Here is a 27,521-nt window from a genome sequence, read left to right as displayed (position 1 = left end):
TAAATATTCCACAGCCAATTTCCTTTCAAAGACAGTGAGGCACACTACACAAAACTCTAAATTAGTCTACTTTTTTTTTGGTTTGTGTTTGAGACAGAGTTTTGCTCTTGTTGCCCAGGCTGGAGTGCAATGGCACGATCTTGGCTCACTGCAACCTCCGCCCCCCGGGTTCAAGTGATTCTCCTGCCTCAGCCTCCCGAGTAGCCGGGATTACAGATGCCTACCACCACGCCTGGCTAATTTTTGTATTTTTAGTAGACACGGGGTTTGCTATGTTGGTCAGGCTGGTCTCGAACTCCTGACCTCAGGTGATCCACCCACCTCCGCCTCCCAAAGTGTCGGGATTACAGGCGTGAGCCACCGCACCCAGCCTCAAATTAGTCCACTTTTAAGGACAGCAGCTGGCTTCAGTTTACTCATGTATTAGCTCTGCTATAGTAACAACCAACCCCTAAATCTCACTGCTTACTACAGCAAACATTGCTCTCTCATTGCTGTGACACTCAGTGGCTGCAGGCCAGCTGCTGTAGCTCGGCTCCATGGAACGGCTCCTCTGTGGGAAATGTGTTCTCACAGCAGAGGGAAGAGCACAGGCCAACCACACATGACTCTTCAGGCTTCTGTCAGACGCAGGACAGCTCATGCCTGTGCATATCCCTCTGCATTGGGAGCAGGGAAGTACACTCTCCCGGGGGGATGGGGTGGGGGCACTGCAAGAAGTCACACAGCTACAAGTCAGGATGGATAAACTCCTCTTAGGAATGGGGCAACAAACAGCTGCAGACAAAAATATACTCTGTAACAACCCAACATGCTAGAAGATTTTCCAGTTTAAAAGACACAAAATCCTAAATGTCAAAACTGCAGAGGAACTCAAGAGGCCACTGTCCAAAGTCTGTCACAGTCCTCCATATGGCAAAGATGAAGAAAATTGGCAATCTTTTTAGGGGTACCAAGGATCTGAGTTTGTACGGTCTTTATAAATGCAGAGCAAGATGTGGCTTTCCTGCCCCCATTTCACCTCAAGGCATCTTCAGCAACCCCACATGGCTTCCCTCTGTGCGCATGAAATAACTTGAGGCCAGGGTCTCTCAGCTTTAAAGCCTTGGAATCCTATGCATTGTTTGTTTGTGTGTAGATGTGCAGTTTGAGGGGTAGCTTCTCTAAGGTGTCAAACTCCACAAAAGTTCAGAATCATGTCACTGGATCCTGAGTCCATCTCCACAGACCAGGGTGCCGCTCAGGTCAGTTGCTGTGGTAACTGCAGCAGATGGTCCCTTTAGCGATGGAGTCCAAGGACATCATGGCCAAGACCCAGAGTTTTATATCAACTGAGGAAAGTGAAGACCAGCCAGAGAGGCTGCAGTTTAGGGAAGCCAGAGGCTCCTCCCCCACCACGATGCCAGGAAGGACTATCCCCAGGGTGACGGAAAGAAAGCACTGGACTCCAGCAGTATGTCCAGCTGATTCAGGTGTGCTAGGTTCCCAGCAGAGGAGGGTAAGGGAGGAGATCCAGGGGCCCTGGCTTAGTCATCGTATCTGGTACACCTTTCTCCCCCGGAGAAAATTCTTGCAAAAAGGAGAGGATCCTACACAGACCAAAAATGCTGGTGTCAGGGCTTTTACAAAGTACCTGCCGTGAACACAACAAAAGAGAGGGTGTTAATTTAATTACAATCTTAACCATCCATGCACCTTCCTAACAACATGCAAGGTGAGCCTCTGGATGGGAGTCAACATGAAAATGCAAGTTTAGCACAGTTATGTGGTTGTTCATAAATCTGGCAAATTAGCATGACATTCTCATCCTTACAACCTAGCCAGAACCTTTAGGCCAGTCCTCTGGCATCATGCATGTCTGTGGCTAAATATGAAATAAAAATATAAAGCATGGTTTTATTCATTCATTCAACATTCAGTGGTAAGCCAGGCCCTGTGCTGAAAACACAGAGATTAAAAAACCAACACCCACACACCATCATCTTTGTTCTCAAATTCAGTCCTGGAGGGGAGGGAGATGAGGAACCAATTAATGACAGCAAGGCACAACTGCAGAAGCATTTGTGAGGCGCAGCATTATCCCAAGGAGGCACGATTCCCTCTATGAGGAAGGGAATCAAAAAAGGCTTCCTGGAAGATGCCATGTCTGAACTTGGCTTTAATTTGGGGAAGGGGTGGTGATGGGGGTTGGGGAGCAAAAGCCAGGAGGTGCAAGTAACCAGAATGTTTGCTGTGGCTAGGGCACAAAGCAAAAGGAGTCAGGCAGGCTAGAGAGGCAGGGAGGGCTTTGGCCTCCCAGGGATAGGGGTGTTGTATTACTCAGTGGGCCTGCTTTGGGACAGAGGGCCTATTTCGTGGCTCCACCCAGTTTAGGGTCTGAAGTTGCCAGAAACCAGTCCTGGGTAGGCTCTTGCCTATGGTAATAATTTTAAAGGTAGTAACTTCCAACAGCATTTACATTTTCTGAGAAGCATGAAACGGGTTTCCTCCAAGCATCGGTCTGCTTTCTATTTAGATTTCTCCTCTGGGGTAGGGCAGAACTCAGGCCTTTAAAGAATTCTGGGTAATTTGCTAACAACTGAGAAAATGAGCAGCTAAAAATGTGTCCAAAAACTAGAAGAAGAGAGATTTGGGACCAGAGCAAAACACCACCAAAGGTATCAATCAGATCTGGAAAAACCTTTCCTTCCTGCCTACCAAGCCAAAGCATTAAGACTAGCTGGACACCCCTATCACATCACTCAACACTACACCAGCTCCCATCCAATCTACCTCCTAAACCTCTAATCCACCTCCTCCTACTTCAGGCCTCACCACTGAACAGTACACTTCAAATCTTTACATTACTCTGTAATTTTTTTGGGTAGTGGGAGGAGGGGGTCTCACTCTCACCTAGGCTGGAGTGCAGTGGTGTGATCATAGCTCACTGCAGCCTTGAAATGCTGGGCTCAAGCAATCTTCCTGCCTCAGCCTCCCAAATAGCGAGGACTACAGGTGCACAACACCATAAAAAAGATTTCTATAGAGACGGGATCTCGCTGTGTTTCTCAGGATGATCTCTAACTTCTGAGCTCAGGTGATCCTCATGCCTTAGCCTCCCAAAATGCTGGAATTATAGGTATGAGCCACTGTACCCGGCCTATTCTGTACATCTTTTAAAATCTTTTTAATTTTTAAAAATCAACCCTGGTGTACACCACAATCAGGATAAAGTTTACGCTCCTTAGCAGGGCATTCAGGCCTTCGTGTATGGCCCTAACTTAGCTTTCTAGCCTCATTTCCTACCACATCCAACCACTCTCTTTACACTAATACATTGGGCTCTTTTAGCTTAAGTGCAAAAGCATCTGCTTTTCTCTGCTTTGCTTTGCTCAAAGCTTAAGGAAAAGTAGTCCAAGAGTCAATTTGCAAATCTGCTGAGGGCTTTCCCTTATAGTCCAGGAACACCTCACAGCTTCTCTGAGACAACTGCCAAATCCAACTTGCTGCCACTGCTAATGACAAAGATGCCCTCCTATAGCAGGACTGCCCTGTGCAGTTTACAACAGCACTTCAACTCCTATCCTGTCATTGGCTCTCAAATACTTGAGAAATGTGTAGGCATGTATTACTCCCATTCCAGAGATGAGGCGGCAGTCCCAGAGAGGCAGCGTGTGCTTGGAGTCACACAGCCAGTAAATGATGATGGGTCTGACTTCAAGAGCCAATGCTTTCTTCATATGACAGTATCAGGAGCCGGGTCACTGGCATGCACTTGATATTCCAGCTACCTGGGAGGGTGAGGCAGGAGGACTGCTTGAACCCAGTTCAAGACCAGCCTGGAGAAGATACCCTGTCTCTATTATAAAAATAATTTAAAAAAAAATTTTAGGGGCTGGGTGTGGTGGCTCACATCTGTAATCTCAGCACTTTCGGAGGCTGAGGTGGGTGGATTGCTTGAGCCCAGGAGTTCAAGACCAGCCTGGCCAACATGGTAAAACCCCATCTCTATTTAAAAAAAAAAAAATTCAAAATAAGAAAAAGCAAACAAAAGAAAGAGCATCAGGAGACATAGGTATAGGTACGATTAGGAAAAGGAAGGCTGGCCGGGTGCAGTGGCTCGCCTGTAATCCCAGCACTTTGGAAGACCGAGGTGAGTGGATCACCTGAGGTCAGGAGTTTGAGACCAGCCTGGACAACATGGTGAAACCCCGTCTCTACTAAAAATACAAAAATTAGCCAGGCATGGTGGCAGGCGCCTGTAATCCCAGCTACTCAGGAAGCTGAGGCAGGAGAATCACTTCAACCTGGGGGGTGAGGTAGAGGTTGCAGTGAGCCAAGATCGCACCACTGCACTCCAGCCTGGGTGACAGAGCGAGATGTCGTCTCAAAAAAAAAAAAAAGGCCATCCTAGCAGCCTTCATGTACAAAAAGCCAGGCAGCTTTTCCCTTCAAAGACCAGTCCTATTTATCTCCCCTGGTCTGGAGTGTTATGGCTGTGGTGCAGTGGGCTATCATCACACTGGAGCCTGTTTGACCAATGGCTGAGTTTTATGGGCCCGGCCAGTCTCCATGGCTGCTGTCTCACACAGCTCTGTGCTCAGGGCAGAAGGGAGGGGAGTATGAGGCAATCAGTCAGCAGCGGAATGAGAACCTGGCTCTACTCCTCGGATGGTGCCTGAGTGATATGGTTTGGCTCTGTATCCCCAACCAAATCTCATCTTGTAGCTCCCATGATTCCCATGTGTTGTGGGAGGGACCCGGTGGGAGATGACTGAATCATGGGGGTATGTCTTGCCTGTGCTGTTCTCGTGATAGCGACTAAGTCTCACGAGATCTGATGCTTTGAAAAATGGGAGTTTTTGACCGGGAGTGGTGGCTCATGCCTGTAATCCCAGCACTTTGGGAGGCCAAGGCAGGTGGATTACCTGAGGTCAGGAGTTCAAGACCAGCCTGGCCAACATGGTGAAACCCCGTCTCTACTAAAAATACAAAAGTTAGCCGGGCGTGGTGGCAGGTGCCTATAATCCCAACTACTCAGGAGGCTGAGGCAGGAGAATTGCTTGAACCTGGGAGGTGGAGGTTGCAGTGAGCCGAGATCACACCATTGCACTCCAGCCTGGGCGACAAGAGCAAAACTCCATCTCAAAAAAAAAGGGAGTTTTCCTGCACAAGCTCTCTCTTTTTGCCTTCCGCCATCCACGTAAGAGGTGACTTGCTCCTCCTTGCCTTCTGCCATGATTGTGAGGCATCCCCAGCCACGTGGAACTGTGAGTTCTCCACTAAACCTCTTTTCTTTATAAACTGACCAGTCTCAGGTATGTCTTTATCAGCAGTGTGAAAATGGACTAATACACTGAGCATCTTCCCCAATCTACTCAGCGCCATGAGATGACTCACCTCTGGTGCTGTAGAACCTGTAGCAAGGTGCTCTTGGCAGGCACCCGGTATAGTTCTGCCCTGTCCTCATCCTCAAAGTAGACCTGCAAGATTAACAGAAGGGCAAGAGTCAGAGATAAAGGCTTCGGCAGCCTTAGTTGAGGCTAAGCCCAGGGAAAATTAAAAAGATGGCAACGGTTAGTAGTTGAATGCCTCCTTTATATGGTTGTGTAGCTGGGTGCTTTGCATTTAGTACCCCCCCGCCATGCCACTGTAAAAGAGGCTATTATCAGTTCCATCTTCCAAAGACAGAATCAAGGCTCAGAGAAGAACAACAACTTGCCAACATTACCCTGCTGGTAAACAGAAGAATCAAGACTCAAGGCCAGGCCTATGTAGCCCTCCTTTCCCTAACAAATCAGACTAAAGCCATCAGGTATGTGGAGGAGAAAGCTATGGTGGCTCAGAGAAGGAAAGAGCCTGAAGAAGGAGAGAAGGATGTCTGTGCAGGGTGTCAAAGCCCAAGCAGGGTGAGGAAGACGCCTGCACAGGAAGCTCCCGGGGGTGTCAGAGCAGGACCAGTGAAGAAGAGCATCCATGCTGGGGGCCAGCAGGCCTGAGCAGGGGAAGAAGTGCTCCCTTGTAAGATGGCTGTCCAAGGTGGGGTGTCAGAGGCCATGTGGGGTGAAAAGGGTATCCATGCATGGGGACAAGTAATATGGAGTTTACAGGCCCAACTAGGGTGAGGAGGGTGACCACTCATGGCAGGGGGTGGCCTGCTGTAGGGTGTCAGAGCCCAAGCAGGATGAGGAGGATGTCCATGTAGGGTCGTTGAGCAGTGTGGGATGTCAGAGTCTGTGCGGGGTGAGAAAGACGCCCACGCTGGGGCAGCAGCGTAACATGTGGAGTCAAGAGTCCAAGTAGGGTGAGGAAGGCTCCACATAGGAGAGGGGCCAGTGGTGATGACAGGAGGGGAACTGATCAAACAAATAACTATATTAAGAATAATAAAGTCAGGCCAGGCATGGTGGCTTATGCCTGTAATCTGAACACTTGGGAGGCTGAGGCAGGTGGATCACTTGAGTCCAGGAATTCAAGACCAGCCTGGGCAACATGGTGAAACCTCATCTCTACTAAAAATACAAAAATTAGTTGGGCACGGTGGCAAACGCCTGTGGTCCCAGCTACTTGGGAGACTGAGGTGGGAGGATTGTTTGAGCCCAGGAGGTTGATCTTGGCAGTGAGCCAAGATCTCCCTACCGCACTCCAGCCTGGGCAACACAGCTAGACTCTGTCTCAAAAAAACAAAAACAAAAAAAGAACAAGAAGAAAGTCATTGTTACAAATATAGAAAGGGAGAAAAAATCCTGTGGATGTTGAATTAAGAGTTGGAGATACCAATGAGACTTCATGGTCTCTCTCTCTCTCTCTCCTCTCTCCTCTCTTCTCTCTCCTCTCCTCTTCTCTCTCTCTCTCTCTCTCTCTCTCTCTCTCTCTCTCTCTCTCTCTCCTTTCTTTCTTTCTCTCTCTTTCTCCCCCAAGCTGTGGCACTGAGAAGGCATTGAGGCAGTAAGCTTGCCTCTCTACCCCCATTGTATTAATCGATACACTTATACACTTATTGCACAGAGATCTCGGCTTCTAAATACCATTCTTCACTAGAAAGAACCAGGGCTTCTTGGGAAAAAATAGCTAATTCCAGAGCTGGGGCAAGGAAAGCGCAATCTGAACCTAGAACATCCTATGTAAGAAAGCAACCACTTAAAAAATAGACACAAGTCAAAAGGACACAGAAACAAATTTGAAGAGATTCCCACTGGCCAAATCTGGGATATTCTGAGCATAAAAGAAACAATCATAGTAACAGATTAAAACTCATTAAATGAAACAGGAAACTATAAATCCACCAATATAAATAAATATGTTGAATATCTGACGAGCAATGGGATATTTACACCATTTCAAAGCATCTCCCTATAAAACACTTATTAATCATAAAGAAAAAGTAACTGTACAGTGGAGAAGGCTGGCAGACCCCACCTCAATCAGGTGATCAGAGTGAACATCATGAGTAATGGGACAAATGGAGATTATGTACCATCTGATAGGTGCAATGAGAATACAGCATCACTTCTGTAATATTCCAGCCAAATATGCATAATCCAGGCCGGGCATGGTGGCTCACACCTGTAATCCTAGCACTCTGGGAGGCCAAATCGGGCAGATCATTTGAGGTCAGGAGTTTGAGACCAGCCTGGCCAACACGGCAAAACCCCATCTCTATTAAAAATACAAAAAATTAGCTGGGCGTGGTATCTGAGTAGCTGTAATCCCAGCTACTCAGGAGGCTGAGGCAGGAGAATCGCTTGGACCTTGGAGGCAGAGGCTGCAGTGAGCCGAGATCACACCATTGCACTTCAGCCTGGGCAACAAGAGCAAAACTCCATCTCAAAACAAACAAACAAGTATGTATAATCCAAATCTAGTCAGAAGGAAACATGAGACAAACCCATACTGACAGACATTCTACAAAATAAGTGGTCTGTAATCTTCAAAGTGTCCTGCAGTTGAGTCACAGGATCACAAAAATATGAATAAAAATTTTTTAAGTAAAAAAAAAAAGTGGAGGAAAGACTGAGGAGCTCTTCCATACTGAAGGAGACTAAGGGGACATGATCACTAAATACAGTATGTGATTCTGAACAAAACCCTTTTGCTATAAAGAATTTGTGAAACCTGAATGGAGTCTGAGGGTTAGATGGTAACAGTGAATTAATGTAAATTTCCTGCTTTGATAGCTATATGGGTATTATAAAGAAAAATGTCCTTTTGTGTAGGAAATACACAGTAAAGTATTCAGGGGTAATGGGACATCAGCTGGCATCCTACTCTCAAATGTTAGAAAAAGGTAATTCTTTATACTGGATATTGTGATTTTTTATTTAAAAAATCCCAACAATGGAATGTTATTCAGCCTTAAAAAGGAAAGAAATTCTGGCTGGGCACGGTAGCTCACACCTGTAATCCCAGCACTTCTGGAGGCCAAGGAGGGCGGATCACTTGAGGCCAGGAGTTCAAGACCAGCCTGGCCAACATAGCAAAACCCCATCTCTACTAAAAATACAAACAAAATTAGCCAGGCTTGGTGGCACATGCCTGTAATCCCAGCTACCTGGGAACCGGAGGCATGAAAATCACTTGAACCAAGAGGCAAGGTTGCAACGATCTGAGATTGCACCACAGCACTCCAGCCTAGGTGACAGAGCGAGATTCTGTCTCAAAAAATAAAAATAAATAAAAAGGAAAACAATTCTGGTTGGGCATGGTGGCTCACACCTATAATCCCAGCACTTTGAAAGGCGGAGGTGAGTGGATCACTTGAGGTCAGGAGTTCGAGACCAGCCTGGCCAACATGGTGAAACCCCATCTCTACTAAAAATACAAAACTTAGCTGGGTGTGGTGGCACGCGTCTATAATCCCAGCTACTCAGGAGGCTGAGGCAGGAGAATCGCTTGAACCTGGGAGGCAGAGGTTGCAGTGAGCCAAGATCGCACCACTGCACTCCAGCCTGGGTGAAACAGCGAGACTCCGTCTCAAAAATTTAAAAAAAAAAGGAAATTCTGACACATGATACAATATGTAATGAACCTTGAAGACATTATGCTAAGTGAAATAAGCCAGACATAAAAGGACAAATACTGTATGATTCCACTTATATGAAGTACTTAGAGTTTCAATTTGGGAAGATGAAAAAGTTTTGGAGATGGCTGGTGGTGATAGTTGCACAACAATGTGAATGTACTTAATGCCACTGACCTATATACCTAAAAATGGTTAAAATGGTAAATATTATGTCATGTATATTTTACTATAATTTTCAAAAAAATAAAGCAGACTGCTTCCCCCGCCGCAAAAAAAAAAAAAAAAAAAAAAAAAATTAATTCCATAGAGGAACGAAATAAAACTTCTCTTACCTCCAAATTATCAGGGCAATATTTTTGCTCTAGGTCCCAAGAGGGTGTTTCACCAAACATCACCATTAGATGATCAATAAACCTAAGGATAAAACATGTACTTTCTGGGTATCAATAACTCATGATCTATTTTCCCACATCGGTCCCCAGACACTAATTCAAAGTTATCTAGAATGTATAAAACATGAAATGCAGGCTTAACCCATTTGACAGCAGTACCCCAAATGTGTATATGTATCACTTGTCCTATTATGACATAATTTTATTTTATTTTATTTTATTTTTTTTTTTTGAGACAGGGTCTCGCTCTGTCACCCTGGCTAGAGTACAGTGGCATGATAACAGCTCACTGTAGCCTCGACTTCCGGGCTTAAGCAATTCCTCTACCTTAGCCTCCTGCATAGCTGAGACTACAGGCACATGCCACCATGCCTGGCTAATTTTTTTCTTTTTTTTGTAGAGATGGGGGTCTCCCTATATTGCCCAGGCTGGTCTCAAACTCCTGGGCTCAAATTATCCTCCTGCCTCAGCCTCCCAAAGTTATTGGGATTACAGGTGTGAGCCCTGCACCTGACTGACAGGATTTTCTTTTTTTCTTTTCTTTTCTTTTTTTTTTTGAGACAAAGTCTTGCTCTGTCACCAAGGCTGGAGTGTGGAGTACAGTGGAACAATCTCTGCTCACTGCAACCTTCACCTTCTGGGTTCAAGTGATTCTCGTGCCCCAGGCTCCCAGACAGCTGGGACTACAGGCATGCACCACCATGCCCGGCTAATTTTTTATATTTTTATTAGGCACGGGATTTTGCCATGTTTGCCAGGCTGGTCTTGAACTCCTGGCCTCTAGTGATCCTCCTGTCTTGGCCTCCCAAAGTGTTGGGATTACAGGCATGAGCCACCATGCCCAGCTGACATAATTTTCTTTAAACAGCTTCAAGGTTAAAAACATTTCTGGTAGGGTGCAGTGGCTCATGCCTGTAAATCCCAGCACTTTGGGAGGCCGAGGTGGGAGGAACATTCGAGCCCAGGAGTTCAAGACAAGCCTGGGCAACATAGAGAGACTCTGTGTCTACCAAAGAATTAAAAAATTACCCAGATGTGGTGATGTTCACCTGTAGTCCCAGCTACTTGAGAGGCTGAGGCAGGAGGATCACCTGAGCCTGGGGGCTGGAGGCTGTGATGAACCATAATCATGCCACTGCACTCCAGCCTGGGCAACAGAGCGAGACTTGGTCTCCAAAAAAAAAAAAAAAATTACAAAAAAACTTTTCTTACACTCTTACACTTAGACTCATTCTACACATTAACCCTATGAAATCACAAGTTAAGTCTGATATATATACATATCTATCAAAGACATACATATATCTCTTTTTTATTTTTTTTTTTTTTTGAGACAGAGTCTTGCTTTGTCACCCAGGCTGGAGTGTAGTGGCATGATCTCGGCTCACTGCACCCTCCACCTCCCAGGTTCAAGTGATTCTCATGCCTCAGCCTCCTGAGTAGCTGATATTACAGATGCCCAGCTAATTTTTTGTATTTTTAGTAGAGACTGGGTTTCACCATGTTGGCCAGGCTGGTCTCGAACTCCTGGCCTCAAGTAATCTGCCTGACTCGGCCTCCCAAAGTGCTGGGATTACAGGCATAAGCCACAGCGCCCAGCCTCTATATTTTTTTTTCTAATTAATATTCACTTAAATTGCTATGCATGTATTACCTAAAATGACTTCCTATTTCACCAGTGATGTGTACCACTCTTTGGCAAACACAATACTGTGGTGTTGCATGTACTAGCCCAGTTAGTATGACGATGAGACTTTTGTCTGTCGTTGCAAACCTAGTTAGTCAAGGTTCAGTCAGCTACAGGATAGAGAGGTTATTATCAAACCAGATGGTGTGAAACCCTCTAAACCATTATCTTCCCTTCTCAACCAAAAATCCACTCGTCCCTCCTGCCACAAAAACAGAGACAGCATGCAAGCAAAAGCAGAGGGCTCCTGGGCAAGTCAGTACCTGGAGTCCTCATGAAAAGCAGAGATGAAGTCCGACTGGGCATACTCTGGGTACAGAAAGAGCACAGGCCAGCTCAGCCTGCCCTGGCCATCTAGACTCAGCCTGGCTCCATGGGGGTTCTCAGTGCTGAGTCCATCCAGGAAAAGCTCACCTAGACCTTCTGAGGCTGAATCTTCATCCTCACAGGCAGCTTCTGAGAGCCTGATATTCCTAGCCTGGGTTAAAGACAGAAACACACACACATAATGCACATCTTATTGTGTGGGAGGATGCAAACCCATTTTACTGAAATAAAGAAACCATAATGCCTGGCTAATTTTTTTATTTTTTATTTATTTTTATTTTTTGAAGAGACGGAGTTTCACTATATTGCCCAGGCTGCACGACTAACTTTATTTTTAATTTAATTTTCTTCATCTGTACCCTGAATGAACATGGACAACTAACTTTAATACATCAAAAAACAAACAAACAAAAAAAAACACCATAACAATGGGAGCTCCCTGAGGGACAGCTCTACACACAATCCATCTTCATTATCCCTGAGGCCTGGCACATAGTAGGTACCACTTAACTCACCTTCATTGGGCATCTATCTTGTGCTGGACCCTGTGTCACAGAGAACTAGACATGGCTACCTGCCCTCAAGCCTCTGCTCAATATCAAGTGGTGAGACAGCTATGGAAATAATGATGATATAAGGTAAGAAGTGGAGTTGTAGTACCATAGACGATGGAATAATTAATTCAGCCTTGGGGGCTGGAGGTGACTGAGATATGCTAGGCCTTGAACAATGACTTTGAAAAGCAGAGAAGTTGGAAGGGAGGGGCACTTAGAAGGGAGGAAGAGCCTTCCACTCCAACGAGCAGCAAGTGCAAAAGGACAGAAAAGATAAAAAAAAAAAAAAAGAAATGTCAAATATTTCAGTTTAGTTGGGACATGGAATACTAGAAAGAGTGTGCATTGACTTAATCTTGACTGTCTCCTAGACATGGGCATAAATTAAGGGTCTGAAATAGTAGGGTCACCTCTTATGTAAGTGTGCAGGGGTGCCTAAGGTTAGCACATGAGGGGAAATGACATGCAATCAAAATTAGATTTGATGATATCCCCTAAATTGGAGGTTAGCAAACTTTTTCTTAAAGCATTAGATATGAAATATTTTAAGAGTTCTGGACAATGGTCTCTGTCAAAATTAACTACTCAACTCTGCCACTGTAGTGTGAAAACAGCCATAAGTAGTACATAAACAAATAGGCAGGGCTGTGTTCCAACGGCTGCAGTTTGCTGACTCCTCCCTTTAACCATTAGTAAAATACAGCATGCATGGCTTCGTGTACTGTTGAGAGTAACTCTTATGTATGCTAAGTTTGAGATGAAGGGTTACACTAAAGAAGAGAACCAAAAAAAAAAAAAAAAAGGATTTATGCAAATGTCTGGGTGTCTGGGCATCTCATATTCTACAATTAAGAAAACGAACAAATCCCTCACTGTGAATGAGAATTAGATGGAAAATCTGGAGTATTCTAATCTGTTTAACGTGTTAATACATGTAAACAGATTGTTGTGGGGAGGGAATAGTGGAGTATGTTTTAGCAGTGTTAAGTTTCTTACAGTCAACAAGTAACATAAATGGTGCATAATTTAACTGAACAAATAATAAAACAAAAAACCTACCCCGGTTGGGCACCGTGGCTCACGCCTATAATCCCAGCACTATAGGAGGCCAAGGCAGGTGGATCGCCTGAGGTCAAGAGTTCAAGACCAGCCTGACCAATATGGTGAAACCCCGTCTCTACTAAAAATACAAAAATTAGCTGGGCATGGTGGTGTGCACCTGTAGTCCCAGCTACTCGGGAGGCTGAAGCAGAATTGCTTGAACCCAGGAAGTGGAGGCTGCAGTGAGCCGAGATTGCACCACTGCACTCCAGCCTGGGTGACAGAGAGACATTCCATCTCAAAAAAAAAAAAAACCTATCCCATAATCTCCCAGCAGATATTCTCTCCTTTGTTAAGACCAAACAATCTCAAACAGGTGACTCCCTAGGTATCAAGGTTAAAGCAAGATTTGGGTCAGACTATATATATTTCAAAATACAGAAAAGAGAAAGACAGGGTGGCATTTTGTTATTGTTGTTGTTGTTATAGGAACAACATCCTAAAATGTCAGACTTTCTCAGGATGCTGTACAACCCAGTGGTTAAGAGCAAGGACCCGGCTCTAACACATGTTAGCTGTGTAAGGTTTCTTCACCTCTCTGAAACTATTATCCAAAAAAACAGAAGCAAGACAACCTATTTCAGAAGGCCACTGTGAAGCTTAAATAACACTTAACCCAAAGCAGGTATTCAGTACAGTAGTGTCCCCTTATCCACGGTTTTGCTTTCCACAGATTCAGTTACCAGTGGTCAACCATGGTCTGAAAATATTAAATGAAAAATTCCAGAAATAAACAACCTGTAAGTTTTAAATTATGCACTGAGTAGCAGATGATGAAATCACGGGCTCTGCTCTTTGGCCAGCACATCCACGCTGTAGATGATACCCACCTGTGAGTTAGCACCCATCTCAATGATCAGATTGACTGTCATGGTATCACAGTCCCTGTATTAAGTAACACTCATTTTACTTAATAAGGACCCCAAAGCACAAGAGTACTGATGCTGGCAATTCGGATATGCCAAATAGAAGCTATAAACTACCTCCTTTAAGTAAAAAGGTGAAATTTCTCAACTTAATTAGAAGAAAAATTGTATGCTGAGGTTGCTAAGATCTATGGTAAGAGCAACCTTCTATCTGTGAAATTACAAAGAAGGAAAAAGAAATTCATGCTAGTTTTGCTGTTGCTGATGTACCTCAAACTGCAAAAATTATGGCCACAGTGTGTGATAAGTGCTTTAGCTAAGATAGAAAAGGCATTATATTTGTGGGTGGAAGACACAAACAGAAATGTGTTCTGACTGATGGCAATCAGGTTTGGAACTATTTGAGATTTCAAGCATCCACTGTGGATCCTGGAATACATCTGCTTCAGGTAAGTGGAGACAACTGTATATGTTACTGAGACCAACACATGCACATGAGAGAGCTGACTGAACTGGGGTGGCCTGACTCCAGAGCCTGGTCTCCTCTGTCACACTGCTTTACCAAAGTAGAAAGAAAATGAACAAATTCCTTCAGGTAAAGCATCCCAAGAAAGGTTCCCAACAAGCTTCACAGGATTAGTGGATTTAGCAGGACCATAAAAACCTAAGGTTTAAGAACTCACCTTGATGGCCTGGAGTAAAGCCTCATTCTGATTCCTCTCCTTCTTTTCTTTCAAGTTGGCTTTCCTCACATCCCTCTGTTCAATTCGCTAAAAATGAAATTTAGATGCATCAGCTCTAGAGACCTGGCTTCCTCTTCTATTGCACTAGCCTGCTCCTAAATTATTATCTCTGGCCTCTATCCAACCCAAGCTCCTGTGTTAAGGAATACCAGTGGCCAGATTCAGTTCAATAAACATTTACAAAGTACATGCCTAGATGTCAGACCCAGTGGCAGCAGCAGTTTAAATTTACTTCCTGTATGTACCCAAGGAACTCACAGTCTACTGAGGGGTTGAGGGGTACAGACAAGTAAAGAGCCAGTATAACAGGTGGATTATGTACTACTCTGGTCGTGTGATCCGAGTGCTACGAAACATAGCCTGGGTGACAGAAACCCTGTCTCTATAGATTTTTTTTAAAAAGTATAACCACCCTAGTGGGTATGCAATGGTATCTTACTATGGTTTTGATTTGCATTTCCTAATTATTAATGATGTTGAACATCTTTTCATGTGCTTTTTGGCCATTTGTGTGTCTTTGGAGAAGTGTCTATTCACATCCTTTCCTCATTTAAAAAACTGAGTTACCTGTCTTATTGAGATGATAAGAGTTGTTTATATGTTGTAGATAAAAGTCCCTTATGACTTACCAATATTGTCTTCCATTCTGTGGGCTTTTTCACTTTTTTTTTTTTTTTTTTTTTTGTAGAGATGAGGTCTCACTTTGTTGCCCAGGTTGGTCTCGAATTCCTGGCCTCAAGTGGTCCTCCTGCCCTGGCCTCCCAAAATGCTAGGATTACAGGTGTGAGCCACTGCATCTGGCCCCTTTTCACTTTTTTCTTCACATTTATCTTTTCATTTTTTTGATGGTATCCTTTGAAGCAAAAAGTTTTTACTTTTGATGAAGTGCAATCAATCTACTTTTCCTTTTGTTGCTTGTGCTTTGTGTCATATCCAAGTTCATGAAGATTCATATCTATGTTTTCTTTTAAGAGTTGTATAGTCTTAGCTCTTACATTTGGGTATTTGATCTACTTTGGGTAACTTTTTTATATAGTATGAGGTAAAGTTCTAGCTTCATTCTCCCACATGTGAATATCCAGTTGTCCCACTATCCTTTGTTGAAAAGATTACCTCCCTATTGAATGGTCTTGGCACACTTGTTGAAAATAAATTCCCCATAAATGTGAGGGCTTATTTCTGAGCTCTAAATTTTATTACATTGACCTATATGTCTATTGTTATGCCAGTACCACAATGCCTTGATTACTGTAGCTCTGTCGTATGTTTTGAAATTGGGAAGTGTGAGTCTTCCAATTTTGTTTTTTTTTTTTTTTTGTCTTTCATGATTGTTGGTCATTCAGAGTCCCTTGAATTTCTATGTGAATATTATGATCAGCCTGTCCATTTCTGCAGAGAAGCCAATTGGACTTTTGATACAGATTGCACTGAAATTAGCCAGATGTGGCATCACATGCCTATAGTCCCAGTTGCTTGGGAGACTGAGGCAGGAGGGCTGCTTGAGCCCAGGAGTTTGAGGTTGCAGCGAGCCATGATCATACCACTGCACTCCAGCCTGAATATTAGAGCAAGTTCATGTCTCAAAAAAGAAAATTACACTGAATTGATACACTAATTTTGGGAGTATTGCCATCTAACAATATTAAGATCTAATCTATGAACATGGGATGTCTTCCTATTTACTTAGGTCTTCTTTAATTTCTTTCAACAATGTTTTTTGTATTTTTAGAGTATAAGTTTTAGCTACTTTTGTTAAATGTACTCATAAGTGTTTTTTGATGCTATTTAAAATGGAATTGTTTTCTTAAGTTCATTTTCAGAGTGTTCATTAAAAATCTATAGAATACAAATGATTTTTGTGTACTGGTGATGTTGTTTCCAACAAGCTTGCTGAACTTAGTTCCAAGAGTTTTTTAGTGGATCCCTTAGGATTTTCTATATACACGGTCAAGTTGTCTGCATATAGATGGTTTTACTACTACTTCTCTTCCACTCTTTCATTTTTGAAGAATAGATTTGCTAGATATAGAATTCTTACAGTCTTTTTCTTTTAGCTCTTTGAATATGTCATTTACCTGCCTTTTGGCCTTCATGGCTTCTGATGAGAAAGCTGTTAATTTTCCTTAGGATTTTTTGTACATAAAGAGTCATTTTTCTCTTGCTGCTTTTAAGGTTCTCTTCTTTGTTTTTCAACAGTTTAATTATAATGTGTTTAGGTAGAGATCACTTTAAGTTTATCCCACTTATAGTTTGTTAAACTTTTTGGATGTATACATCAGTGTTTTTCACCAAATTTGGGAAGTTTATGGCCAATATTTCCCCAAGTATTCTTTTGCCCATTCTCTCTCTTCTCTCCTTCTAGGACCCCCACTATGCCTTTGTTGGTATGCTTGATGGCATCATACAAGTCTCTCTTCATCCTTATTCTTTTCTCATTCTGTTCTTCAGACTGGATAATCTCAACTGATACATCTTAAGTGTGATGATTCTCATTACTGCCTGCTCAAATGCGCTGTTGAGCCCCTCTAGTGAATTTTTCATTTCAGTTATTGTACTTTTCAACTACAGAACTTCTGTTAAGTTCTTTTTAGTAACTTCTCTTTGTTGATATTCTCTATTTGGAAAGACATCATTCTCATACTTTTTTTAGTTCTTTAGACACTATTTCCTTTCATTCTGAGAAGATATTTAAATTAGCTGGTTTAAAGTCTTTGTCTAGTAAGTCCCACATCTAGGCTTCCTCTAGCTAATGACCAGACAGTAAGTCTTCCAATCTTTGTCAAGAGGCTTTGTGTACATGTTGAAGCACATTTTTAGCATTCACCCAAGCAGTTTACAATTCTACCTTAGCCTTCACTTCCTTCTTGCAGAGACTCTGAGAGCTTAGGGTCTTCTCAGGTCTTTCCTGAGCACATGTATAGCCCTGGGCACATGTGTGACCATCTAGATCTTCAGGAATACTGGAGCTTTTCGGAGCCCCCACAGAATTTCATTCCCCAGTTTTTCCTTTTAAGCTTTATGATGCACCTATTGTTTGCTCCAGTGTTATCCACTGCTTCAGCTTCTACAATCTTTAACAATTGCCTCTAATTGTTTTTTGACAAATTCTCTCCCACCTTTTCATTCCCCCTATTTTCTGGCCCTATGTAAAAAAGCTTTTTATACTGGGTAAGCTCCAAGTCAGGTCATATAAAAATAGCCCTGTGAGCGGGGTCTTCCAGGGATCTACCAGATGGTCAAATCATCACAGTTCTCTGGGAAAAGGCTTTGAAAGAGCTCCAACCCTGTTCTGCCTCCTCTGGTGGCTGCAGGCTGCTCATTTTCACCATGACTGTGGGCTACTGGCTTTCAAGGCTACTGTGGAACTGGAGAGGAGGGAGATGAGAATAGAGCAAGTTAAAATGTCACAAAGCTTGCTGTTCTTACTGAGGTTCCAACATTTTTCTTGAATAAACATGCTCCAGATTGCTGCAAACCTCTGGTTCATTTCCAGAGTCCTAGAAAAGTGAATTCTGATCATTTTTGCCAGTTTCCTCATTGATTTTATGGAGGAGAAAAATTGTAAAGGTCTTTAGTCCACCACTGTGATTGACACTACCCCTCTCTATTTTTTAAATACTGGTTTTATTAATTACTGAGATAGTTGATATTTCCACCTATTTGTGGATTTGTCTCTTCCTTCTTTGAGTTGTCAAGTTTTGCATCATGCATTTTGAAGCTGTTAGTAGGTGCCTACACATTTAGAATTGTTAAATATTCTTATAAGCTGGTCCTTTTATCATTTAAAAAAATGCTTCAGTGGCTGGGCACAGTGGCTCATGCCTGTAATTCTAGCACTTTGGAAGGCTAAGGCAGGAGGATTAAAGCCCAGGAGTTTGAGACCAGCCTGGGCAACATAGTGAAACCCCAACTCTACAAATTTACAAATTAAAAAAAAAAATTAGCCTGGCATGGTGGTGCACGCCTGTAGTTCCAGCTACTCAGGAGATTGAGGCAGGAGGATCAGTTGATCCCAGGAGGTCAAGGCTGCAGGAAGCCATGATCATGCCACTGCACTCCAGCCTGGGCAACAGAGCAAGACTCTGTCTCATGAAAAAAAAAAAAGAAAAAAAGCTTCACTTCATCTCTGGTAACACTTGCTGCCTTGAAGTCTACTCTGTCTGATATTAACATAGCCACAAGTCTGTTGGCTATATGCCAAGCACATAGGAACCCAGAATCAGCTTGTACTCAGACACAGGGGAATACTTCAGCTATTCAGCAAGTAATGTCACCTAGACCTAATATCAGGCTTCTGGGCCTTGAAATCTCCCTTTAATTGTGACTGTCCCCAGTAGCCCTCTAGACATTCATTCCTGTATATACCACTTTCAGAAATTCTGGCCATACCCAATTACCTAGGCTCAGAATTCTGTTATTGAGCCATGTGGGTCCATAGAGATCTACCTTTTCTACCATTTCATATGACCAGAATGACCTCTGGTCATTGCTGATGATATATGACATTTCTGGCACATAACAGCTAAAATGATGATTAAAAACAGTAATAATAACAGAATACCATCACTACCCAAAATAATATCCAACATTTAAATAGCACTACTGTGTGTGTGCTCCAGGTGTTATTTAAAAACATTCCTTACGTTAAACCATCTAAACTATATAATAGCCCTATAAGGTAGGAAATATTTTAATTCTCCTTCTACTAGTGAGGTAGCTAAAGCACAAAGAGATCAGCAAGTTGTCCAAGTCACATAACTGTCATGAAGGGAGTCTTCAAATTCAGGCAGTGGCTCCAGAGTCTAAGCTCTTAGCCACTGTGTAATACTGTCTTACATGCCTGTTAATAGAAAGCCAGAACTAGTCTTAAGGTCTCTTAATTCCTGGTTTAGGTCTCTCTTCATGGCTTATACTACGGAATGGGAGTATATAATATACACTGGGAGTCTTTAGCTGGCCCTGAACACGTGACATTGTTATGTGACTGTATATAGTAATGGTATCTAATTTTGCCCTGGACAAGACGTGTCTCCATTCAGATTGATGGGGATACATTCTGAAAAATGCACAATCATTGTTGTACAAGCATCATGGAATGTACTTACACAAACTGAGATGGTATAGCCTGCTACATACCTAGATTATATGGTACAGCCTATTGCACCCAAGCTACAAACCTGTAAAGCACATAACTACACTGAATCCTGTAGGCAACTGTAACACAATGGTAAGTATCTGTGTAGCTAAACACATCTAAACACAGAAAAAGCACAGTTAAAATATGGCATCATAATCTTATGGGACCACTGTAATATATACGGAGTTCCATCATTGAATGAAACACTGTTATGTGGCACATGACTGTACTACCACTATACACACCATCTATCCTTGCTTACCTCTATATCACACTATAACTGTTTACTTGTCTGTGTGCTCCACAGAGTTCCAGGAGTAGGGACTAGTTTTGGGTTTTGTTTTTAAAAAGTTTACAATGACTTGAGAGACACAATCTTGGGAATGCTAATTACTGCTAATTAGCAAATGCTAATTGGTTGCTGACAGTCACCAACCTTCAGCTTGTCTGCTTTAGCCCTCATTTCCAGAAGCTTCTTCTCTTTGGCATCTATTTGCAGTCCCTCATCACACCAGTTCACGGCCTCGGCAAAGTGTTTCAGTTCCAGATGGCATAAGGCACCTGCAGAACCCAGAACCCTTAGGATTCAAGAAAAACATGCATGGAAAGAACCTGCTTTGGGCAAGATCTCCCATCCCCCACCAACTACCAGCCAGTACCCTGAAGGCAAAATGGAGGATAATGCCCCTTATACTGCAGTCCCCAGACAAGGGAGAATACTTTTTGTGTCCTAAATCAGAAAAATCCCTAAGGTCCATTTAGTTCAAAACTCCTGTAAGTCTCCCTGGTATTAAGGGCTCTTAAAGTAGGAAAAGCTATAACTTAGTGGCAAACCAGATAGATCAAGGCTAGAAATCTGGCTGTGTCATTTACCAGCTAGACCTTAGACAAAGGACCAAGCATATCCAAGCTTTAGGTTCCTCATCTGCAAACAGGAAGAATAAAGTCCATCCCAGATGATTTTTTCAATGGAGGGAAAAAGCAGACTTTGCTTCAGCTATTCATCAAGGCAGTGGCAAGGCCAAAAACATTAGGTGTCTCCTAATTTTGTTCTTTATGGCTACCAGTTTAAGCTGCCTCTCCCCCATCAAAAAAAAAAAAAAAAATTTCATGTTATCATGTACATTTTTCTCCAGTTAGCCTCTTTAGGTTTTCCACAGAATTTCAAAATATAAGCATTGTAAGGGCTTAGATGCCAACAGATTCTAACCCCATCTTCTAGAGATGAGCAAACTGATATTCAAAGTGGGTGTCTTGCCAAGGTCACATTGTAAATTAAACCAACAACTGAATCAAGGATTACACACTTCTAGCCTGAGGCAAATTCCACAGGATTACCTAGATTCAATTTATCAGCCAATCTTTGTTCAGTACCTTCTTTTCCTACAGCTGAGGGACATGGATCTTCCTACTGCCCTTAACCATGAACATTTAAAGAGGCATAATTTTGAAAAAGCATTTTAAGCTGGTCCATGGGGATGCAGGGAAGATTAATATGTGATGAATAAATTAAAGTTTGCAAAGCACCTATGAGCTTCTCAAAGAAAAGGTGAAGTATAAAAGTAATAAAAGCACTGTTATTACATAGAAAGGTCAGACTACAAGAGAAAACATAATCTGAGAACATCTCAGCACCAAAGTCATCAGCAAAGGTCCCATAACTTATCTTTTAATTAACATTAACATGGCATTTGAAGACCTTGCCTTTCAATCAGCTAATTTGGAAAAAAAATCAGAATATGGCTTTGCAACTGCTTTGTTTTAATTAATTTTATTTTTTATTAATTTAAAATGAGGGGCTTCTAGTTCTCTACAAATTATTATTACATAAAGGGTTAAGTCACTCTCTGAGGAATTCTTTTAAAAGTGGCATGTTGCTGTTGATAAGGAACAGGAACTTAATACCCAGACTGCAAAAATAAGATGACTTTATTAGTATCCTAGCACCTTCATATCAAAGCTTTAAATGTCATACTGTAGTTCCACAAGACTTACCTCTTATTATTGCTTTGAGGTGGCAGGGTTTTAGCTTTCTGGCAGCTGTCACATCATTGAGAGCAGAACGAAAATTGCCTAACAAAACACCGTTTAGTAAAAGAGAGAAGTTTTGAGATCAAAATGTTTCCAAAATTTTATATGTAGTGACAAAGACACTCTTGTACAATCCTGGGGAAATACAAATGAGAGCAACTGTTTTTTTGAAAAAATATGGTTGTACTTGTCAAGAGCCTTAGAAATGTCTATAACAGGCAATCTACAGAACTGTAAATGGCTAGTAAGCACATGAAAAGACGTTCAACATCACTAATGATTAGGAAATTAAAATTAAGAAATTGCTAAAAGTTAGACAAATAATATCTAGTATTAGAAAAGATATGGAAAAGGGGTACTCTCAGGGTAAATTAGAAAGCAAATTAGCATGTATTTTGTACATATACTTTGACACAACAATTTTCTTCTGGAAAATTATCAAAAATACTTGAACAAATGTGCAGGGATAAATGTAAAAGCATGTTAACTACAGCATTACTTTAATTGTGAAAAGCTGGAGATAACTCAAATATCCTCAATTTGGTAATGATTACATGAATTATGGTAAATCCATACTATTGAATACTATGCAGCCATTAAAAAGAATGAGATAGATCCTCATGTAAGAAACACGGTAGGATGTCTGTTCTATATTGTTTTAAGTGGTGGTTCTATGAGTATAGAGGAAGCCTATTTAAAAAAAAAAAAAAACTAAATATCTAGACACACATGTATATATTTGTAAGTGCATTAAAAAAAAAAAAAAAGTATGCAGTCACACACATACCAGTTATCCAAACTAGCAAGCCATGAGGTATACTTTAACTTTCTGGAGTATACTATAATTATTACTTAATGGTTTAGTATTTACCTAAATCTCTAGCCCAGGGGTCAGCAAAATATTTTGTAAAGGGCCAGATAAATATTTTAGGTGTTGCAGGCCACATGTGGTCTACTGCACATTCTTCTTCATTTTATTACAATTCTTGAAAAATGTAAGAAACCTCTGGGGAGGTGGCTCACTCCTGCAATCCCAGCACTATGGGAGACCGAGGTGAGAGGATTGCTTAAGACCAGGAGTTCAAGACCAGCCTGGGCAATATAGCAAGACTCTCTCTCTACAAAAAATTTTTTAAAAATTAGCTGGGCATGGTGGTACATGCCTATAGTTCTACCTACTCGGGAGGCAGAAGTGGGAGAATTGCTTGAGCCCAGGAGTCTAAGATTGCACTATGCTATGATCACAGCTAGTACACTCCAGCCTGAACAGAGTAAGACCCTGTCACTTTAAAAAAAAAAAAAAAAAAAGTATGGAACATTTTTAGTTCATGGCAAGCCAAGGGGCCAGGGGTGGACTCTGAGTCCTAGTTTGCCAAATCGTGCTTTAGCCTAATGAATAATCAGAATTATCAGAAAAATATTATGACTTTATTTATTTTTGCATTATTTATAAAAACCAAAAAACAGTCTATATACTCAACAATAGCAGACTAATAAAGCAAACAGTATAAATAGTGGCATGTCCATATGATGCAACTTTAGCTATTGAAATAACATTCAGAAATGATTTTTAATGACGGTGAAATTGTTTGTTATAAAATTAAGTGAAAAAACTGAATATCAAACTGGAAGAACAGCAGGATCTCAACCATGGAAAAAAATGCACATGAAAGGGATCCAAGGACTTTTAGTTAAAGGAGGCAGATTGAACACATACATTTAACTCAATCCCCACTCTCTCTCCCATAAAGACAAAGAAAATGAGAAGAACACAGAACACATTGTGAAAGCTGGAAAACAAAGGAACAAGTAACTGATGTATCAGGCTTAAGGAAACTGAATTCTAAACCAGTAGAGGGAAAGCACAAAAGCTACCAAGCTGCACTGCAGAAACTACAAAGTACTCAGGACTCAGGAACTGATGGCACCAGGTACCTCTGGAAGTGGGGGTGAAGGTGGGTTGAAAATCTACTTAAGAAGCAGTCAGAGTCCCATATTCCTTACCCCTCTGCTGCACCAGTGACCTACTCCTCCCCTGTTCCTCCAGGTGGAGGACTGGAGGTTTACCCTAGCAGACAATAAAACAGTAGGTCTCTGGACTGGAACCCCCAGGCACAAAGGTGATTCAGTAAAGGAAATATTAAAGATTGAGCCCTTGGTCCTCTTCTCCTACTTGGTTCCCAAAGTACCAGCAGCCAGGATTTCCAAAAAGAGAAAAAAGAGTAAAAAAGAAAAAGAAAAATATCAAAGCATTCAGGAAAATGTCCTAGAAACATGAGTTTCCAGACTGAAAAGGTCCACTGAGTACACAGCACATTGGGAGACCAAGGCAGGTGGATCACTTGAGCTCAGGAGTTCAAGGCCAGCCTGGGCAACATAGCGAGACCCCTGTCTCAATTAAAAAAATAAATTATTTTTAAAAAAAACCCACAGGTCTAACATAACCAAGACTAGTCACCAGCAATACTACTTAAATAATCATTTCCCAAATTTACGACTACAGAACCTGCATGATGTTGGTGTTACCTGAAGAGGAGGCTTACAAAATTTGAGAAACCCAGGGTAAATTTATTTTCTTGCAGGCTATCTCAGTGTCTTTAACATGTTAACATGTACTGTAAATCTCTAAGAAGCAGCATTTTCCAAACTTCCTCAATCTCCTGGGTGCGGTGGCTCACACCTGTAATTCCAATACTTTGGGAGGCTGAGGCGGATGGATCACTTGAGCCCAATTTCGAGACCAGCCCGGGCAACATGGCAAAACCCTGTCTCTACAAAAAAATGTAATAAAGTAAAAAATATGAATAAATAAATGAGTTAAAATTCCTCATCCAAGCAACTTTTTAGAAACAGGGTCTCACTTTGTCACCCAGGCTGGAGTGCAGTGGTGTGATTATGGCTCCCTGTAGCCTTGAGCGATCCTCGTGCCTCAGCCTCCCAAGTAGCTAGGACTACAGGCAGGCACCACCATGCCCAGCTAAATTTTTGGAGAGACAGGGTCTCACTATATTGCCCAGGTTGGTCTTGAACTCCTGGCCTCAGGCGATCCTCCTGTCTCAGCCTCCCAAAGTGCTTGGATTACAGGTATGAGCCACTGCACCCAACCAAAAAATATTTTTAACTCAAAGGTCCCACAGAACGCTTTGAGATATTCTCCCTTAGATTAAAATAGCTTATCTCACCTAAAGATCTCTACTGCCTTACTCCTGCTAGCATCCTTGAAAAGAGGATAAAAGGCCAGAAAAACACATTTTTTGAGAGAGTAGAAGCCCTTGGGCTCAAAAATCTCAGAACATACTGCCTCATACATCAAACACCTTACTTGAGTGACCAAGTCACTTTTTGGGTTGAGACAGTAAGAATTACACAATCCATCCTGTTTCTCTTTTCATCATGTCAACTTGGAAGACCAGAGTTCAATCAGAGTAAACTATCCTTAGTCTGGGTTTCTGGGATAACAGCCCCTCATCCTCTGATGTTCTCAAACCTCCACTAACCATCATAATGGCTTGTATCATAAGTTTATTCTTCAGAAAGCACTTATAAATTACCCAGATAGTACTGTGCTGCTGCCCGGTTGGTATAAAGGACAGCATTCAAATCAGGATCTGCACATTTCTTCTTTAAGCCTTCAGTGTATGAAATTACAGCTTTCTTGTAGTCTTTTTCTTTAAAGTAATCATTGCCCTCATCTTTATAGGTCTTGGCCTGTTCTGCAAAGAAGAGGAAAAATAATCACTATTGCTTACTTTTTAAAAGGCTCATTAAAAATAGATTCTAAATCATGTAATAATGTACTATATGACACACCAAAGCGAAGAAACCAATAGGGAAAGGAAACTCGATGTTATGATAAAAGTGGGTATCAACATGGACAAAGTCGCACAAATGTAATGCTAATTCCAAATATCTTACAAGGTAGATTACTAAGTGCTTTCCAAAAAAAAGAAGTATAAAGGAAAAAAGTACACTCATCCTAGCTGTTGAAGAAAAGAATTTTTTTTAATCACTGAAGAAATCAGTGAGGGGCAGGGGGATTGATTATACTTCTGCTTTTGCTTATGTTGTTTATTCTGTGGAGTGCAAATTCCCCTCCTCACCCTAGTAAAAGCCTACAAAATTACAAAGATTCAGCTCAAATTTCCTATCTATTGTGAATCCACTCCTGCTCCTTAAAGTGTTCCAACAGGACCCACTACAGCTGTAGTATACACCTACATGTTGACACTTATAGCATAAGTTTGTCTTGATTCTTTAAGACAAAAGGCTTCTCACTGAGCCTGACCTTGGAGGGTGGAACTGTGTCTTATTCACCCCTGTATCCCCAGTCCTTACCACTTAGTAGGTACAAAAAGAAGTATATTGGAATGAATAATGACAAGTTAGCTCAGGCTAACTACTTCTTGTTATCAATCAGAACGCTTCTAACCCACACTTAATTTCAGTTCAATGGAAACACAAAACAAATATTAGTCATGTTAAGATACCTTCTGGAGAACGCTCCTCATCAAAAATAATTGACTGGAGACAAGCCAAGTCAGGATTCTCCCTGGGATCAATTTCTGATGGCGCTCTCGACATAAATAGGGGGACCTTTTCAAATTCCTGTAAATGGTTAAGAATGAACTACATGAATAAGCTTTTCTACTGAGCAGATCCAATTCCATGACTCATTACCAAAGTTTTTTTACTCATCATGATTTGCAAATCATCACAGCTAGCTGTATCCATTCAGGCCTCCGCTTCCCTTCTGTAAAATGGGAGTGTGGTGTAATGGTCTCTAATGATTGTTTTAGTTCTCACATTCTACAAGAGCGGCAGGAATTACCATTAATTGAGCGCCCTTATGTTCTTGGCACTTTACCAACTGTCTCATTTCATCTTTGCTATTGGTGATATAGTTCGCGCAGTTTTACAGATGAGGAAACGGACTCTGAGAAGTTAAGTAACTGACTCATATCAGAGCCAGTTAAGTGGTGGAGTCACAGGCCTGACTCCAAAACCTAGGTTCTCAGCTTAAGAAGCGACTCAAAACCTCGAGGCCGATTTTCAATACTCAACTAGAAACCAGCGATCGGCTGGCAGCGCCAGGGATCTGGGATTGAAGGAGGTGCCCCAGAGCCCGGGTGCCCCACGAGTCCGGACGACGCCCCTACACACGTGGGGAGACCCCAGGACCGCCCACCTTCTCCCACTGGTCCTCATGAAAGCCGCCACGGTAAGGCTGGCTCTGGAACTTTTCCAGGAACGAGTCCATGACGTCGTCTGAGGTGGGATCCTGCCCAGGTTGTTCCATAGCTGATGCCCTGCCTTCCAGCCCGGGTCCCAGCGCCGTGAAGCGAGCGGCTCCTTCCGGCGGCGCGGGTTCCCTTCCCTCAATCCTCCCGGCAGCGCAGGTCCCCGCGCCTTGGGTTCCGCCGGCCTGGGGGCGTGGCCGGGCGTGGCCAATACGCTCCTCCCCCGGCCCGCCCTCCTCGGCAGTGCCTGGCCTCGCCCGGCCTTCGAATGCTTTTGGGGTGGTGCGTGAACCCGAATCCCCAAAGCCCCCATCTCACTTCATTCATTTGTTCGTCAGTCAGTCAACACATACTTACTTAGCTCTTTCTGCGCTTCCGGCCTGTTCTAGTGGCTGGCTATATAGCGGTGGGCAGAGCAGATGAAATCTCTGCCCTCTAGGAGTTG

At 42.4% G+C, this 27,521-nt stretch overlaps 1 protein-coding gene and 1 long non-coding RNA gene across 5 annotated transcripts in view, besides 2 other annotated features; both read right to left on the bottom strand.

The window, feature by feature from the left end:
* TTC4 (tetratricopeptide repeat domain 4) lies at window positions 387–27,183 on the bottom strand. 2 transcript variants are annotated; one of them, NM_004623.5, is made up of 10 exons: window positions 27,025–27,183; window positions 26,327–26,444; window positions 25,391–25,552; window positions 21,804–21,881; window positions 20,245–20,369; window positions 14,612–14,698; window positions 11,344–11,558; window positions 9,334–9,415; window positions 5,380–5,462; window positions 387–1,633 (listed from the first exon to the last, which is right to left on the bottom strand). In NM_004623.5, exons 1-10 carry the CDS (start codon window positions 27,133–27,135, stop codon window positions 1,531–1,533), a joined length of 1,164 nt encoding a protein of 387 aa, NP_004614.3. In that variant the 5' UTR covers window positions 27,136–27,183; the 3' UTR covers window positions 387–1,530. The 2 variants fall into 2 exon arrangements, with proteins under 2 accessions (NP_004614.3, NP_001278262.1); NM_001291333.2 differs by lacking the exons at window positions 9,334–9,415; window positions 11,344–11,558.
* Window positions 387–27,521, bottom strand: part of MROH7-TTC4 (MROH7-TTC4 readthrough (NMD candidate)) — a 100,918-nt gene continuing 73,783 nt past the window's right edge. For 2 of the 3 annotated variants that reach the window (NR_037639.2, NR_037640.2), the window contains 10 exon segments: window positions 387–1,633; window positions 5,380–5,462; window positions 9,334–9,415; window positions 11,344–11,558; window positions 14,612–14,698; window positions 20,245–20,369; window positions 21,804–21,881; window positions 25,391–25,552; window positions 26,327–26,444; window positions 27,434–27,521. This is a non-coding gene — a long non-coding RNA (MROH7-TTC4 readthrough (NMD candidate)). 3 annotated transcript variants of the gene reach the window in all.
* Window positions 26,945–27,446: an enhancer, noted in NCBI's record as "H3K27ac hESC enhancer chr1:55181271-55181772 (GRCh37/hg19 assembly coordinates)". NCBI's record gives its function as "activates a minimal SCP1, AML or CMV promoter by ChIP-STARR-seq in naive H9 embryonic stem cells {active_cell/tissue: H9 hESC(naive)}" and the evidence as "EXISTENCE:reporter gene assay evidence [ECO:0000049][PMID:30033119]".
* Window positions 27,195–27,294: a silencer, noted in NCBI's record as "silent region_921". NCBI's record gives its function as "represses an Ori minimal core promoter by ATAC-STARR-seq in GM12878 lymphoblastoid cells {active_cell/tissue: GM12878}" and the evidence as "EXISTENCE:reporter gene assay evidence [ECO:0000049][PMID:35858748]".

The sequence above is a fragment of the Homo sapiens genome, chromosome 1, assembly GCF_000001405.40.
Source record: "Homo sapiens chromosome 1, GRCh38.p14 Primary Assembly".
Classification (NCBI taxonomy): domain Eukaryota; kingdom Metazoa; phylum Chordata; class Mammalia; order Primates; family Hominidae; genus Homo; species Homo sapiens.
This window is presented reverse-complemented; position numbering and strand designations above follow the sequence as displayed.